At 44.4% G+C, this 17537-nt stretch overlaps 3 annotated features.

Moving 5' to 3' along the window:
- Positions 4244 to 5023: an enhancer, noted in NCBI's record as "OCT4-NANOG-H3K27ac-H3K4me1 hESC enhancer chr11:44692285-44693064 (GRCh37/hg19 assembly coordinates)". NCBI's record gives its function as "activates a minimal SCP1, AML or CMV promoter by ChIP-STARR-seq in primed H9 embryonic stem cells {active_cell/tissue: H9 hESC(primed)}" and the evidence as "EXISTENCE:reporter gene assay evidence [ECO:0000049][PMID:30033119]".
- Positions 5024 to 5803: an enhancer, noted in NCBI's record as "OCT4-NANOG-H3K27ac-H3K4me1 hESC enhancer chr11:44693065-44693844 (GRCh37/hg19 assembly coordinates)". NCBI's record gives its function as "activates a minimal SCP1, AML or CMV promoter by ChIP-STARR-seq in primed H9 embryonic stem cells {active_cell/tissue: H9 hESC(primed)}" and the evidence as "EXISTENCE:reporter gene assay evidence [ECO:0000049][PMID:30033119]".
- Positions 5804 to 6582: an enhancer, noted in NCBI's record as "H3K27ac-H3K4me1 hESC enhancer chr11:44693845-44694623 (GRCh37/hg19 assembly coordinates)". NCBI's record gives its function as "activates a minimal SCP1, AML or CMV promoter by ChIP-STARR-seq in naive H9 embryonic stem cells {active_cell/tissue: H9 hESC(naive)}" and the evidence as "EXISTENCE:reporter gene assay evidence [ECO:0000049][PMID:30033119]".

Here is a 17537-nt window from a genome sequence, read left to right on the forward strand (position 1 = left end):
TCCCTCCTCTGGATTTCCTTTTAACTGTCCTCTTCCTTTTACTTGCTGGGGGTGGGGTGGTGGGGTGAAGAGAGAGGAGTAAAATACAGCTGGGTCAGTCCAGATGTTTCCCCAGAAACATGGAGATGCTTAGGATATAAGGTGACAGCCGGCTCCCTGCCCAGCCGGGTGAGGCTTAAGTTCATGGGCTGCCAAAAGTTCCAGGGCAGCCACCTCTGGCCCCTGGGCTGGGCTTGAACCCCTGCAGCTGGTGGAGTGGGGAGGGTAGGAGGAGAGGAGGGAGTCCCTCTTTCCAGCTAGTGCTGACATATCACAGAACAGGGATTCAGGGGTCTCCTCCTAGCAGTCCCCTCTTTTCTCCCTTAATCCCGCTGCAGCTTCAATCACCAGGGCTGTTCTGCTGTGTGACCCCGGGCAGTCTCCTAACCTCTCTGGCCTCACATTTTACCATATGGAAGGTGGGGCAGAAATAACGAGGCTGAGAGGGCATTGGACTCCCCTCATTCTGAAAGACCCTTTGGACTTGGAGGTCCGTTATCAATCCCTGCATCCAAGCATTGGTTCATTTAGCCTCCAGATGTGCCAGACTGGGTGCTGGGGACAGAGCAATGAACAAAGCACAGAGCCAGTTCTTGGGAAGGCAAACAGGGAAGAGGCAATGAGAATTCACTGTGGCAAGGGCTCTTGACAGAGGGGTGCTGGGAGGTCAGGGAAGGCTGAAATGTGAAAGACAATCAGCAGTAGCCAGTCCCCATCAAGTCCCCATCAAGACCCCAAACTGCCATGCCCTGTGGCCAGGATTGCTAATGCAGCTTTCTGCTAGATCCTGGTCCTGGATTCCATCTTGTCTACTGAGCTACTTCCATGACAACCATCCTTTCCCTTCACTGGATCTTGAGTGCCCTGACCTCTTGGTTTACTTCCTTTCTGGTCACCATCTCCCACCTTCCCTTTCTTTGTATCCAAGTTAGAATCCTCAGCGGTTCACCTCTTCAGTAACTCCTGCCAATTCCTGAATCCTTTCTTCCATCTATCTTTTTCACCCACCTATGAAACTCCAACTTTAAATGAGTGAATTCTCAGCTGCTTCTTTACCTGCACCAGGGCAGAGGGAGAAAACCACTGCCTAGGGTAGACTGGTCCCCTGGAAATAATGTATCTCAGGACCACGCACTCTCCTGCTCCACAGTGTCTGTTCTAGTTTCTATTACCGTGTAACAAGACACCCCAAAACTCATTGGCTTTAATTTAACCAGACACAGTGGCGCATGCCTACGGTCCTAGCTACTCAAGAGGCTAAGGCTGGAGGATCACTTGAGCCCAGAAGTTTGAGGTTACAATGAACTTCGATTGCACCACTGCACTCCAGCCTGGGTAATAGAGTGAGACCTTGTCTCTAAAAACAGACAAACAAGGGGGAGCGTGGTGGTTCACACCTGTAATCACAGCACTTTGGGAGGCCAAGGCTGGGGGTTCACCTGAGGTCGGGAGTTTGAAACCAGCCTGGCCAAGATGGTGAAGCCCCGTCTCTACTAAAAATACAAAAATTAGCCAGGCACGGTGGCGGGTGCCTGTAATCCCAGCTACTTGGGAGGCTGAGGCAGGTGAATCACTTGAACCCAGGAGGCGGAGGTTGCAGTGAGCCGAGATCACGCCATTGAACTCCAGCCTGGGCGACAAGAGCAAAACTCTATCTCAAAAAAAATTTTAAAATAATCAAAATAAAAACAAAGAAAGAAACATTTATTTAGCTTACAAATCTGTACTTTTGGGTAAGGCTCAGCTCTGCTCTGTGCAGAGGCTTCAACTGGGGCAGCTCTACTGGAGGCTGGGGGACCCTTTTTTAAGGGGGTTCACTTAAAGGAAGGAGAAGGGAGAGAATGATAAAGCCAAGGGGATAGAATGTTACAATTAAGTGAATCTGGGTAAAGGCTCTATGAGTGGTCTTTCTGCTATTTTTATTTTTGCAACTTTTTTTGGTAAATTTAAAATTATTTCCAAGTAAAAAGTTACGAAAGTAGACATGTATTACAACAATTCTAACCATTCAAAAATGTTGTAGTTATATGGCTACTGATTTCACAGTGGCCAAAACCCAGACCGTCCTATTATTTCAATCTTTTGAAATTTGTTAACACTTATTCTATGGCCCAGTAGGATTGTTCTGGCAAATTCCATGTACCCTTGAAAGTAATTCTGTCGTTACTTGATGTATTTCTCTGTATTTCCCAGGCATTGTTTGTGAATCATGTTATTCATATCATCTATACACTTAGTGACTGTTTTTTGTCAGCTTGCTCTGTAAGTTACCGAGTGCTAAAATCTCCCACTCAGGTTTTTGATTTGTCTATTTCTTTTGGTAATTCTTTCATTTTTGTGCTTATGTATCATTAGATGCACCCAAAAAATAAACAACAATACAAGTAATTTGAACAAAGCAAGCTCCCTTAGCCCACAAGCCACCCCAGCCATCTTCCTCTCCTGCCTCTCTCACTGCTGATTAACCTTCCCAGGCGACATGTCCGCACCACCCAGTGCCACTCAGTGCGGACTAGGGACCAGCAGTGCCTGGGAGCTTGGTAAAAAAGCCAGTGATCTGCTCTACCCTAGACTTACAGAATTGAACCTCTGCTGGATGGGGACCAGAAACAGGTTTGAATGTGTGATTCCCAGTCAAGCAACAGGGAATGATGATTACTAGGGTGAGAAGCACTCATCTTAGTCACCTGCCTTATCCTTGCCTTCCATTTACTCCTCAACCAACTCTGCCAGAAGTGATGACTCTCATCAGGCTCAGAAATGACCTCTGTTCCACGAAATCCAGTAGGAATTTCCCCCTCAGCAATATTTCACCTGTTGCCCATTTCCTCCCTTAGTTTAGACAACAATTTATTGTTTTCTGTAAAAAATAATATACGCTTATTATAAAAATTAATAATGGAACAGTATCTGAATAATGTAAAAAAGTCACTCCCCATTCCATCATTTAGAAGCAATGTTTTTAACACTGGATTCATGCAATTCCAGATATCTCTTTATACATACATACAGAGAGAAGCATGGGTAGATAAATAGCAGGAAAAGTGAAGAAGTGTACTATAATAATATGGCATATTAAATATCCTGTTCCCAACTTGAAAGTATCATGTTTAATATGATTTGACTTTTTAAAAGCATAAAAGCCAAGTTCAATGGGGAAAAAGGAGCTGACCCAAGTAAATGAAAAACGATCTTTTGACTGGATACTGTAAGATTAAAGAGGAAAAGAGTAAAACACAAACACTACTGTCATTAATTTGTTTCTCAGGGCAGTCCAGGTTAGCAATTGTAAAACTACTTTGCTTGTTTGCTAGGTTGAACAAATAAGTATACATTTTGTACATACTAGAGCTAGGTTTTTCACTTTCGGAGAAAAAATTTACAAATGGGGAAATGAGGAGGCTAGAATGAAGGCTAGAATGCTGCATTAGAGTCAGTCAGTGTGCATTCAGGCTTATTTTAATGTAAATATAGATAGATATAGACAGAAATATAGTTATGTGTAGATACATATATGTCATAGCTCTGCCTCTGAGCCTAGAAGTAGTGACACTTCAGTAACAACAAGCGCACCTAGCATCCACATCTTTTTTTTTTTTTTTGAGATGGAGTCTCGCTCTGTCACCCAGGTTGGAGGGCAGTGGTGCAATCTCAGCTCACTGCAACCTCTGCCTCCTGGGTTCACGCGATTCTCCTGCCTCAGCCTCCCGAGTAGCTGGGATTACAGGCACACACCACCACACCTGGCTAATTTTTTGTGTTTTTGGTAGAGACGGAGTTTCACTATGTTGGCCAGACTGGTCTTGAACTCCTGACCTCGTGATCTGCCTGCCTCGGCCTCCCCAAGTGTTGGGATTACAGGCGTGAGCCACTGTGCCTGGCTTTTTTTTTTTTTTTTTTTTTTTTTTGAGACAGAGTCTTGCTCTGTCACCCAGGTTGGAGTGCAATGGCGCGATCTCGGCTCACTGCAACCTCCATCTCCCAGGTTCAAGCGATTCTCCTGCCTCAGCCTCCCAAGTAGCTGGGATTACAGGCATGCGCCACCATGGCCAGCTAATTTTTTTTTTATTATGTCTAGTAGAGACAGGGTTTCACCATGTTGGCCAGGCTGGTCTTGAACTGCTGACCTCAGGTGATCCACCTGCCTTGGCATCCCAAAGTGCTAGGATTGCAGGCATGAGCCACCATGCCCCACCTTGCATCCACATCTTGAATTCTAAACAACATTCACCAATAAAGAAACTTGAGTTGCCTGGAGAAATGGCCGATTCTAGGGTTGAAATAGAGTGATATGGTTTGGATATTTTGTCCTCACCCAAATGTCATGTTGAAATGTAAACTGCAATGTTGGAGGTGGTGCCTGGTGGAAGGTGTTTGGGTTATGGGCGTGGATTCCTCATAGTTTGGTGCTGTGCTCATGATAGTGAGTTCTTGTGAGATCTGGTTATTTAAGTGTTTGGCACCTCCCTCCATTCCACTGTCTCTCTCTTGCTCCTGCTATGGCATGCGAAGTACCTGCTTCCACTAGTGATGACCTAGGGTATCTTGAAGAACAAACTTCTAAGCAGCAAAGTGCTCAAGATGTAGTCTGGCTGCTTCTAACTACCTATGCTCAGATATGGGAGCAAATAAATGATCTAAAGTTGAAATTTATATTTAAAAAGGAAGCAAAGCATAAAAATTTGGAAATTTTGCAGCCTAGCCATGTAGCAAAGAAAGAAAATCTTTTTTGGGAGAGGAATTCAAGCAGGCTTGAATTCCTTGCTAGAGAAATTTGCATAACTAAAAAAGAGCCAAGTGCTAATAGCCAAGACAATGGGGAAAAGGCCTCAAAGGCATTTCTGAGATCTAGGAGGCAGCCTCTCCCATAACAGGCCCTGAAACTCAGGAGGAAAGAATGGTTTGGAGGGAGAGGGCCTGCGGCCCTGCACAGCCTTGGAACAGTGCTTCCCACATGTCAGCTGCTCCAGCACCAGCCAGGGCTCACAAAGGCCCAGGTACACCTTGAGCTGCCACTTTGGAAAATGCAAGCTGTAAGCCTTGGTGGCTTCCACATGGTGTTAAGCCTGTGGGTGCACAGGGTGCAAAAGTGAAGGTTTGGCAGCCTATGCCAATTTCAGAGGATGTATGAGAAAGACTGTGTTTGTGTGCCCAGGCAGAAGCCTGCTGCAAGACAGAGCCCACACAGAGAACTTCTACAAGGCCACTGTGGAGGGGCAATGTGGGGTTGGAACCCCCACACAGAGTTGACACTGGGACACTGCCTAGTGGAGCTGTGGGAAGGGGGCCACAATTCTCCAGTCCCCTGAATGGGAGATTCACTGGCAGCTTGCACCCTTTGCCTGGAAAAGCAGTGTGCACTCAACAACCCGTGAGAGGAACCATGGGGGCTGAACCCTGCAAAGCCACAGGGGCAGAGCTGCCCAGGGCCTTCAGAGCCCACCCTTTCCACCAGTGTGCCTCGGATGTGGGACGTGGAGTCGAAGGAGACTATTTAAGATTTAATGACTGCCCTGCCAGGTTTCAGCATTGTGTGGGGCCTATAGCCCCTTTCTTTTGGCTAATTTCTAACTTTTGGAACAGGAATGTTTACCGAATGCTGGTACCCTCATTGTATCTTTGAAGTAAATAACTTGTTTTGATTTTATAGGCTCATAGGTGAAAGGAACTCATTTCCAGATACAACTTTGGACTTTGGACTTGGGACTTCTGATTGAGTTGATGCTGAAATGAGTTAAAACTTTGAGGGACTGTTGGGAAGCCATGATTGTATTTTGCAATATGAGAAGGACATGGGCTTTGAGGTGTCAGGGGTGGAATAATATGGTCTCAATATATATCCCTACCAAATCTCATGTTGAATTCTAATCCCCAATGTTGGGGGTGGAGCCTGGTGGAAGCTGTGTGGATCATGGGGGCAGATGCCACTTTGCTTGGTGCTATCCTTGTGATGGTGAGTTAGTTCTGTGGGATCTGATTGTTGTAAAGTGTGTCACCTCCCCTGCCCCACTCTCCCTTGCCCTCACTCAACCAAGTGAGACGCCTGCTCTCCCTGTGCGTTCCACCATGAGTAAAAGCTCCCTGAGGCCTCCCCAGAAGCTGAGCAGATGCCAGCACCATGCTTCCTGTATAGCCTACAGAACCATGAGCCAATTAAACCTATTTTCTTTGTAAATTAACCTAGTCTCAGGTATTTCTTTATAGCAATTCAATAATGAATTAATATACATAGAAAAGGTAAGATGAACCTGGAGCATCTTGTAATGCCAGAAAGAAAGTGCTTACAGAAACAAAGAGGATGGAGGCATGTCAAAAGGACACAATATGCTCAACATCATAAATCAGTAGGGAATTGCAAAATACAACAAGATACCACTACACACCTATTAGAATAGCTAAAAATCTAAAACACCGACAGTGCCAAGTGCTGTGAGGATGTGTGGCAACAGGAACTCTCATTCATTCCTGGTGGAAATGCAAAATGACATAGCCACTTTGGAAGGCAATTTGGAAGTTTCTTACAAAACTAAACACACTCTTACTATACAGTCTGGAAATTGTATTCTTTGGTATTCACTCAAATGAGTTGAAAACTTAGAGCCACACAAAAACCCACACATGTATATTTACACAGCTTTTTCATAATAGCCAAAACTTGGAAGCAACCAAGATGTTCTTCAATAGGTGAACAGATAAACTGTGATACATCTAAACAATGGAATATTATTCAGAGATAACAAGAAATGAGCTATAAAGCTGCAAAAAGACATGGAGGAACCTCAAATGCATATTGTAAACTGAAAGAAGCCAATCTGGTGAGACCCCCCCCTTTCTAAACAAAATAAAGCAAATCTCTTGGGTGGGCACAGTGGCTCACACCTGTAATCCAAGCACTTTGGGAGGCCAAGGCCAGCAGGGGCATTGCTTCAGGCCAGGAGTTCCATACCAGGCTGGGAAACATAATGAGACCCCATCTCTACACAAATAAAAAAACTATCCAGGCATGGTGGCATGTGCTTGTAGTCCCAGCTACCTGGGAGGCAGAGGTGGGAGGATTGCTTGAGCCCAGGAGTTCAAGGCTTCAGTGAGCTAGGATCACACCACTGCACTGCAGCCTAGGTGACAGAGAGAGAGACTCTCTCTCTCCGAAAAGCCAATATGAAAAGGCTTCTGTATGATCCCAACTATATGACATTCTGGAACAATGGTGACACGGTTTTCCTGTGACCCCACCCAAAATCTCATCTTGAATTTTAATCCTCATTATCCCCACGTGTCAAGGGAGAGACCAGATGGAGATAATTGAATCATGGGGGCGGTTTCCCCATGCCGTTCTCGTGATAGTGAGTGAGCTCTCAGGAAATCTGTTGGTTTTATAAGTGTTTGGTAGTTCCTCCTGCATTCACTCTCCTTCCTGCCACCTTGTGAGGAAGGTTCCTTGCTTCCCCTTCACCTTCTTCCATTATTGTAAGTTTCCTGAGGCCTCCCCAGCCATGCTGAACTGTGAGTCAATTGAACCTCTTTCCTTTACAAATTACCCAGTTTCAGGAAGTTTTTTATAGCAATGTGAGAACGGACTAATACATATGAACACAGTAAAAGGATCAGTGGTAGCCAGGGGTTCAGGGAGAAAGAGGGAAGATGTCTAGGTGGAGCACAGGATTTTTAGGGCAATGAAACTATTGTGTATGATACTATGATGGTGGACCCATGTCAGTACCTATGTGTCAAAACCCACAGAATGCACAATTCAAAGAGTGACTACTCGTGTAAACTATGGACTTTAGTGAAAAATAATATATCAATATTGGCTCATCAGTTGTCACATATGTACCACAGTAAGGCAAGATACTAATAACAGGAGAAGGCGTGTGTGTGTGAGTGGGGGTGTGAGGGAATATATGGGAACGCTCTGCACTTGCTGCTCAATTTTTCTATAAACCCAAAACTGCTCTAAAATATCAAGTCCATTAGGTAATAGAAAGGAAAAAGGACAGAGGAACCAACCTGAAAAAAGCTCCCAGTGGCCAGGGCTAGAATAATTTGAACAACAAAATAGATCGTGATACTGTTGGATTATAATGCAAAGAATAAAATAAAGATACACAAGGTCATACTGGTACAGACAAATGATTGACTAAATAAATAAATGGGGGAGACGGGAGACTAATCTTTATAGAGAATTCCAGATAATAAATGTGGGATGTAATCATGTGAATAATATTCCAAATAAGAAGGATGGGGGCAATAGAGCATCACCATTAGGAGACAAGTGCTAATGACTGCAGGCAAGATCCACTGATGAAGTCCCCAAAGTTCCTCTCTAAAATACTTACTAATTACTGTGGTGATTTTAATCTATGTCCACAAATTATTTGATACTCCTCCCTCAAGGAGGAGGAGATGAATTCCCCTCCTCTTGAGTAAGGGCTGGATTAGTCATGCATTTCTAAGAATTAGAGTATGAAAGGAGAAAAGCAGTGACTTCACAGCAGACAAACCTGGTAGATGCCACCTTAACTAAGTGATCGCGGTTAACATCACCTGTAATAAGTCATGTCCATACTATATACCACGTGATAGGCATTTTTACCTTCGTGGTGCTCTTCCCCCAAATCTGTCTCAATGTAATCATGAGAAAACATCATGCAAATGCAAATCGAGAGATCTTCTACAAAACATCTGGCCAGGACTCTTCAGAAGTGTCGAGGTCATGAAAGACAAGGAAAGACAGAAAAACTGTCAGAGATTGGAGACCAAGGAGACGCTGATTACTAAAGGATGAAATCCTTGGGTAGAAATAGGAGATGAGTGGAAAAACTGGCGAAATAAAGTCTATAATTTAGTTAATAGCCTTATACCAATGTTAATATCTTAATTTGGACAAACAGGTAAGATGTTAGCATTAGGGAAGCTGAGTGAAGGGCATATGGGGAGCATTTTGCAAATTTTCTGTATATTTAAAATTATTTCAGCTGGGTGCAGTGCCTCATGCCTATAATTCCAGGAATTTGGGAGGGTGAGGCAGGTAGATTGCTTAAGGCCAGGAGTTCAAGACCAGCCTGGGCAACATGGCAAAACCCCATCTCTACAAGAAATATGAAAATTAGCCTGGCCTGGTGATGCATGCCTGTAGTCCCAGCTACTTGGGTGGCTGAGATGGGAGGATGGCTTGAGCCTGGGAGGTTGAGGCTGCAGTGAACTGTGATTGAACCTCTCCAGCCTGGATGACAGAGTGAGACCTTGCCTCAAAAAAAATTTAAAAATAGGGCCAGGCACGATGGCTCAATCCTAGCACTTTGGGAAACTGAGCGGGGAGGACTGCTTGAGGCCAGGAGTTCGAGATCAGCCTGGGCAACATAATAAGACCCCTATGTGTACAAAACAATGAACAAATTAGCAAATTAGCCAGTCATGGTAGGTGCATGCCTGTAGTCCCAGCTACTTGGGATGCTGAGATGGGAGTATGACTTGAGCCCGGAAGGTACTCAAGTGACAGAGCAAGACCCAGTCTCAAAAATAAATAAATAAATTAATTAATTAAATTAAATAAAAATTAAAAATAAAATAAAATTTTAAAATAAAAGGCTTAAAAAATAAATTAGTAAATTAAAATCAAAGAACTGCTTAATTTTAGATAAATACTTTTTTACCTCAAGTGATATGAGTTTTTACAAGGCTTTTTAAAGTTAAGAAACATAATTCTGTAAAATATTAATTATGAGATTATATTATGTTATTTATTTATTTTTATTTTATTTTATTTTATTTTATTTTATTTTATTTTATTTTATTTTTTGAGACAGAGTCTAGTCTTGCTCTGTTGCCCAGGCTGGAGTGCAGTGGCAGATCTTGGCTCTGCAACCTCCACCTCCCAGGTCCAACAGATTCTCCTGCCTCAGCCTTCCGAGTAGCTGGGACTACAGGTGCTTGCCACCACACCTGGCTAATTATTTTGTGTTTTTAGTAGAGACAGGGTTTCACCATGTTGCCAGTCTGGCCTCGAACTCCTGACCTCAGATGATCCGCCCACCTTGGCCTCCCAAAGTGCTGGGATTACAGGCATGAGCCACCATGCCCAGCCAATTATGTTATTTTTTTAAATGGCATTTTTCCAACTTTATCCCTTACTGGTTGACTCTTGCTGTGAAAAATGAGGAAATTAGCAGATTCACAGTTTCTCTCTGCTTCTCTCCTAGATCTCCCAATTATTGTTAGTCACTTAATGATATTAGTTTTATTGTTGATGTTTATATAACCTTTGCACTGTGTACTATACTCCAAATTCACAAAGATTTTTATTTCTATATTTAAATTGATTCAGAGCTTGTCACCAATATGTTTACCCTGGCTTCTCCATTCTGAGCTATTTATTTTAATAAATCCCTTTGTTGGCTACATTTCATTGCCTAATTTTTTGTTTCAAGAAGGACTAAGAGGCACTCATTCCCTAAATTCTAGAACTCTTGAGAATGTCTGTCTATGGCCTTTCAATTTGAAGGAAATTGTCTGGGTATAAATTTCTCGGGTCATACTTTCTATCCTCTGGGAGCTTGTAGACTCTGCCCCACAGACTCTGGCATGTTCCTAGAGAGAAGCCTGCAGCCAGCCTGATTTCCCCCACTCACGTGACTTGAGATTTTTTACCTGGACTCCCATATGATTCTTTAGCCTTGTATTTCAATACCTTCATTAGCGTATAATGCTTGATGCTGATGGTCTTGAATCAATCTTTTATATTCACATTCAAATCTTTATTTTAGGAATGTTTTTCCCTGTTATGTCAGACTATTTTTCATCGTTGTTCCATTTGTTCTCTTTCTCTTTTCAGGAACTGACTGTGCAAATGTCTGCCTCTGATCTGTCCTCCACGTCTCTTAGTCTTTCCTATAACTGTTATGGGCTGAGTTGGATCCTCTCAAAAAGCTATGGTTTTTTTGTTGTTGTTGTTTTGTTTTTTTGAGATGGAATCTTGCTCTGTTGCCAGGCTGGAGTGCAGTGGCGTAATCCCAGCTCACTGCAACCTCCACCTCCCGGGTTCAAGTGATTCCCCTGCCTCAGCCTCCTGAGGCAGGAGAGCTGAGATTACAGGCACACACCACCATGCCCAGCTAATTTTTGTATTTTTAGTAGAGATGGGGTTTCACCACGTTGGCCAGGATGGTCTCTATCTCTTGACCTTGTGATCCACCTGCCTTGGCCTCCCAAAGTGCTGGGATTACAGGTGTGAGCCACCACGCCTGGCCTCAAAGAGCTATGTTGAAGCCCTGATGCCCTGTCCCCAACAATGTGACTTTATTGAGAAATAGGGTCGATGTAATTAATTCAGATGAGGTCACACTGGATTAGAGGGGCCCTAAATCCAATATGACTAGAGTCCTTATATGAAGAGGAGGGAGATGCAGACACATGGAGAGAACAATGCGTGGAACATCAAAGGCAGAGATTAGGCTGTTGCAGCTAGAAGCCAAAGACCGCCAAGAGTTGCCAGGCACACCTAGAAGGTTAGGCTGGAGCTGTGGAGCAGCTTCTCCCACAGGGCCCCCAGAAGAAGCCAATGCTGCTACCAACAGGATTTCAGAATTCCAGCCTCCAGAACTATGAGAGATTACATTTCTCTTATTTTAAGCCATCCAGTACTTGTGGTACTTGGCCACAGCAGCCCTAGAAAATTAATAGAACTATTGGTATATGTTTTGTTTGTTTCTTTACATTCGTGTGTTTTCCCCAGATGTTCACTATGTGGCCTTCTCCACTCTGTGTTTCTGTTTATCCCATGAGTTGTTTTTCTTGTTTTCATAATGTCTTTCTTCTTTTTAAAAAAAATTTGAATAGTTTTGGGAGTGCAGGTGTTTTTTGGTTACCTGCGTAGATTCTTTAGTGGTGATTTCTGAGATTTTGGTGCACCTGTCACCCGAGCTGTGTACACTATACCCAATATGTAGTCATTTACCCCTCACCCTTCACCTCGAGTCCCCGGAGTCCATTATATCATTCTTTTTTTTTGGCAGGGGGGTGGTTTTGAGACGGAGTCGCCCAGCTGGAGTGCAGTGGCGCAATCTTGGCTTACTGCAACCTCCACCTTGTGGGTTCAAATGATTCTCCTGCCTCAGCCTCCTGAGCAGCTGGGATTACATGTGCGCACAACCACGCCCAGCTAATTTGTGTTTTTAGTAGAGATGGGGTTTCACCATATTGGCCAGGATGGTCTCAATCTCTTGACCTTGTGATCCATCTGCATCAGCCTCCCAAAGTTCTGGGATTACAGGTGTGAGCCACCGTGCCCAGCCACCATTATATCATTCTTATGCCTTTGCATCTCCGTAGCTTAGCTCCCACTTATAAGTAAGAACATATGGTATTTGGTTTTCCATTCCTGAGTTACTTCACTTAGAATAATGGCCTCCAGCGCCATCCAAGTTGCCGCAAAAGACATTATCCCATCCTTTTTTACGGCTGAGTAGTATTCCATGGTGTATATATACCACATTTTCTTTATCCGCTCGTTGATTGAATATCGTTGGTTCCATATTTTGGAACATGATTGGTTGAATATGATTAGTTCCATATTTTGGCAATTGTGAGCTGTGCTGCTATGCCCATATGCATGCAGGTGTCTTATTCGTATAATGACTTTCTTTTCCTTTGGGTAGATACCCAGCAATGGGATTGCTGGATGGAACGGTAGCTCTATTTTTAGTTCTCTAAGGTATTTCCACACTGTCTTCCATAGTGGTTGTACTAGTTTACATTCCCACTAGCAGAGTAAAAGTGTTCCATTTTCACCACATCCACATCAACATCTATTATTTTTTGACTTTTTAATTATGGCCATTCTTGCAGGAGTACTGTGGTAGCTCATTGTGGTGTTCATTTGCATTTCCCTGATAATTAGTGATGTTGGGCATTTTTTTTTCATATGTTTGTTGGCTGTTTGTATCCATACGTCTTTTTTTTTTTTTTTTTAATTGACGCAGAGTTTTGCTCTTGTCACCCAGGCTGGAGTGCAATAGTACGATCTCGGCTCACTACAACCTCCGCCTCCTGGGTTCAAGCGATTCTCCTCCTCAGCCTCCCGAGTAGCTGGGATTACAGGTGCCCACCACCACGCCCAGCTAATTTTTGTATTTTTAGTAGAAACAGGGTTTCGACATGTTGGCAAGGCTGATCTCGAACTCCTGACATCAAGTAATCTGCCCACCTTGGCCTCCCAAATTGTTGGGATTACAGGCATCAGCCACTGCACCCAGCCCATATGTCTTTTTAATTTCAAAGTGTCTTTATTTTTTGCTTCTATTTCTTTCCTGAGAGCTGGTGTCTTTCTGTCTGTTGCCTCATAAGTGCTTTATGGAAACCTTGACATCTTTTAGCTCATTAAGGAGGTTGGGTCGTGTGCAATCTCTTTGAGTACCTGGAGCACTGTGTGTCTGACTCTCCCTCTGTGTTTTTTGTTTGTTTAATAAGTCCTCTCCTGACGTCAGTTCTTGTGGTCTTTGCTTACGTTCCTTACCTCTATTGCCTTTTTGTTTTCTTTAGTCCCTTTTTGGTTCCTTTGTGATTATCATTCACCTTAGAACACAGCCAGTCATTTGTTGCAGGATGATATTGAAGAGAGAGGTATGCAACCCAGAAAGTGACTAGGGTTTGTTTCCAGCAGACATGCTCTTTCCAAATCCTTTATTGTTATTCCTTGGACATACATCACCTCCCACTTCAGCACTGAGGTTTGCCAAGACTCAGCAAAGGCCTTCAAACGTCCTCCTTCCTCTACTTCGCCCCAGCAGTCTCCTGGTGCTGGGAGGAGTTGGGTGCCAGGCAGGAGACATGGACGGTCAGCACGTCCCGTCTCGCCCCCCACTGTCCTGTGCTATTGAACTGGGTCTACAGAAGGATGTTTCTCATGACCCTGCAGCCTGAGCTGCCCCCAGACCCTATCATCCACAGAGGAGGCCTCCCAGTGGTGCTGTCTGTAGGGAGACTGGCTTCCTCCTCGTCTCTCTGTGCCCTCTTCATATTTGTGGCATTTAGCAGCATGTATACTTTCTGGTTTAATAAAAAATGGCACCTGTAATCTCAGCACTTTGGGAGGCCTAGGTGGGCAGATCACCTGAGTACAGGAGTTAGAGACCAGCCTGGCCAACATGGTGAAACCCCATCTCTACTAAAAATACAAAAATTAGCTGGGTGTGGTGGCAGGTACCTGTAGTCCCAGCTACTAGGGAGGCTGAGGCAGGAGAATCACTTGAACCCAGGAGGTAGAGATTGCAGTGAGCCAAGATCGTGCCATGGCACTCCAGCCTGGGTGACTTCTCTCAAAAAAAAAGAAAAAAAAAAAGGAGGTCTTGCTCTATTTTTTCCCCCCAAATTCGTTATTGTTTTCAGTGGGATTTGGGTGCAAGGAGCAGAGTAAACAGGCCTTCAGTAAACAGGCCCAAATGCATTCCTAAGTTTCCTCTTTTCTCTCAGGCCACCCTTTCTTGGCATCCCTCGCCCCCATCCCCCTCTCTTCAGCCATGAAATGCAGAAAGAGAGGAGGTACCTCCCTGAAGGCCATGCTAGTAAGGGGAGGAGTCAGGACACCCCGCCCAGGCACTCTGGCTCCCCAGCAAAAGGATGTGGGTTTCTCAGGTGTGGCTGTTTCCACTGGGCAGGGCCTGACCTGCAGCTCCTGAAAAGCCACTGTTCTGTCTTCCTGGCTTCTTCAAGTCAGAGTCCCAGAGATAATCACCGTGGGCTCCACGCAGCAGAGAGGGACTTGATCCAACACTCTTTTATCGGCCTCAGGGCCTGGGAGGGTTTCTCAGCATCCAAGAATCCTGGAGAGTGACTCCTGGAACATTACAGGGGCTGTGGTGAAAGACACACCAGTGTCGGAATATAAACCAGCCCCCAGGAAACTGCTTCTAGCCACGCCCTGCCTGAGAAGCCTCAGGGTTTCCTGGAGAGTCTGGGTGGTTTCACCCCACAGCCAAGGAATAGCTAACAGTGAGGACTGGAGAGACCCCACAGCCTGGGACCTGCATTCAAGCGCCGACTCCACCCTTGATTGACCTGCAGGGCACCTGGGGAAGCCACCACCCTCTCTTGCCTCTGTGTCTCCATCTGCCCCATGGGTGGGGTGGCCTGGAGGATCCCTGAGTCTCTGCTGGTGCTGGTGCTCCAGGATTCTGGGACCCCTCCAAGCTCCCTCCCAGGGGCTTGCCCTGCTCTTCACTCCCCCTATAATCCCACTTGGGTGGCTGGTTGGGGATCATTCCCTGAGACCTCTCCTGGATGTGTCTGAAAAGGCCCCTCAGGACCTGCAGCTAGGGCCAGCTGGGCAGCAATGTGGTGTTTGCTTCTGCAACCTTCAGGTCACCATAATGACTCACTCTTCCTTGCCAGTGGAGGAGAGCTTAGGGCTTCCCTTCCCCCAAGAAGCAACTTCATGGTCAGTGAACTTCACAGTGAATTCTAAGAAAGCCTCTCGGCCAAGGGCAGATTTATAGCCCTACATTTGCTCCTTCAGCTATTCCACAGCCAATCTCTTCTTATTCCAGAGGCATAACCTCAAGTCGGCCTAGGAACAGTCACTCGGAGACTAAGTTATGAGACCTAGTTGAGATCTGGGCTATGGTAGAAGGCTGGGATAACAAGTAGCCTTTGACTCTTGTCTCTAGCCACCAAGACCTTTGGTCTTCCTGTCAACCTCTTGCCTCCTTTCTTCTATCCTTACTTATGAAAGGAAAAGATGGACCCTTCATTCATCAATCCATCACTCACACATCCAACTATCCATTATGTACCCATTCACCTACCCACCTATCTATCCATCATCCATCCATCCACCCATTCATCCATCATCTATCCATCTATCCATTTATCCATCCATACATCCACCCATCCACCCATCCTTCCATCCTTCCATTTATCCATTCTAAGACTATCCATCCAGCCTCTATTAATCATCCATCCTTCTCCCTTTATCACCCATCCATATTCTCATCCTTTCACTCATTATCCATTCATCCATCATCTGTTCATTTAGTCATCCCTCCCTCACTCTGCACATCCCTTGTTCAAAAAGCCACAGGCTTAATAACAATAGCAATTATACTACAAACAGTTATAGCCACTATTTATGGAAAGCTTACTTTGCATCAGTCACTGTGCTAATTGCTTTCTTGCATTATCTCATCTCACCTACCACTATCCAAAGGGTCCCATGTCACAGATGAGGAAACTGTGATCAATAATCACCTAAATACTCCCTTAGAGATACAAATATGAAGAAGATAGTGTTTCTCTGACTTCCAGCACTCACCATGGAATGAAGGGGACTGACCAGTGAAAATACAGGGTATCCATGAAGTCCAGAAGCCTAGAAAGTCATAACAATGTATGTATATGTTACATATGAAAGATGTCTTTGACAATATTCTGTATGTTTGCCTGTTTCCAGATTTTATGGACACCCTGTACAGTAGAAATACAAAGTGACAGATGCTCAAACAGGACCAGATAAAACATCCTGTAGAAGCATTGCAAGAAGATAAGGGCACGGGGAGAGGAGAGGATGATGCTAGAGTAGCCAGGGAAGGCTTCACTGCAGAAGTAATATGTGAGCTGAGTGTGATTTTGCTAAGCAGAGAAGGGCTTTGCTGGTAGAAACCAGCAAGTAAAAGGGCATGGAGGCATGAATTGAAGACCTGATCAGAGAAATGCAAATCACTTTTAGTGTTTGCAATAAAGGAGTCATGGGAGAACCTGGGCAACATGAGACCTTCAAAAAAGGCCACCTTGAGCCCATGGGTGTCATTAGAATGACATGGGTATCAGAAATAAATGACCCAGTGCTGCCCAGTTGACATGCTATCTTTAGATGGGGAAAAATAACAGATTACTAAATAGCCTAGTCACTATTATCCGATTTTGTGCTGTAAAGTGCATACAGTCATCTTTCAGTATCCCTACAGGATTGGTTCCAGGATCCCCTGTGGATACCAAAATCCACAGATACTCAAGTCCCTTATATAAAATGGAGTCATATTTGCATATAACTTATGCACATCCTCCCATATACTTCAAATCATCTCTAGATTACTTATAATACTTAATACAATGTAAATGCTACATAAATAGTTGCTGTAGTATATTTTTAACTTGTATTATTTTTATTGTTGCATTTTTTGGTTTTAGTTTTTTGAATATTTATGACCCTCAGTTGGTTGCATCTGCACATGCAGAAACTGCAGATATGGAGGGCCAGTTGTATATGTCTGGAGTAAAAGGCTGGAAGGATATTCTAGGATGTCAGCAATGGAGATTTCTGGGTAGCGGGATTTGGGATAATTTTTATTTTCTCCCCATACTTTCTTCATCATGAGCATGGTGGAAGGAAAAAGGGCTTGGGCCCTGGGGGGCAGGGCATCTGGGTTGGATGTTCTATTGGCCACTGACTTGCAAGGAGGCCTTGGGCAAGTCCCTTCCCCTCTCTGGCTCTTGGCTTCCTCACCTGT

This window comes from Homo sapiens, chromosome 11 (genome assembly GCF_000001405.40).
Source record: "Homo sapiens chromosome 11, GRCh38.p14 Primary Assembly".
NCBI lineage: Eukaryota > Metazoa > Chordata > Mammalia > Primates > Hominidae > Homo > Homo sapiens.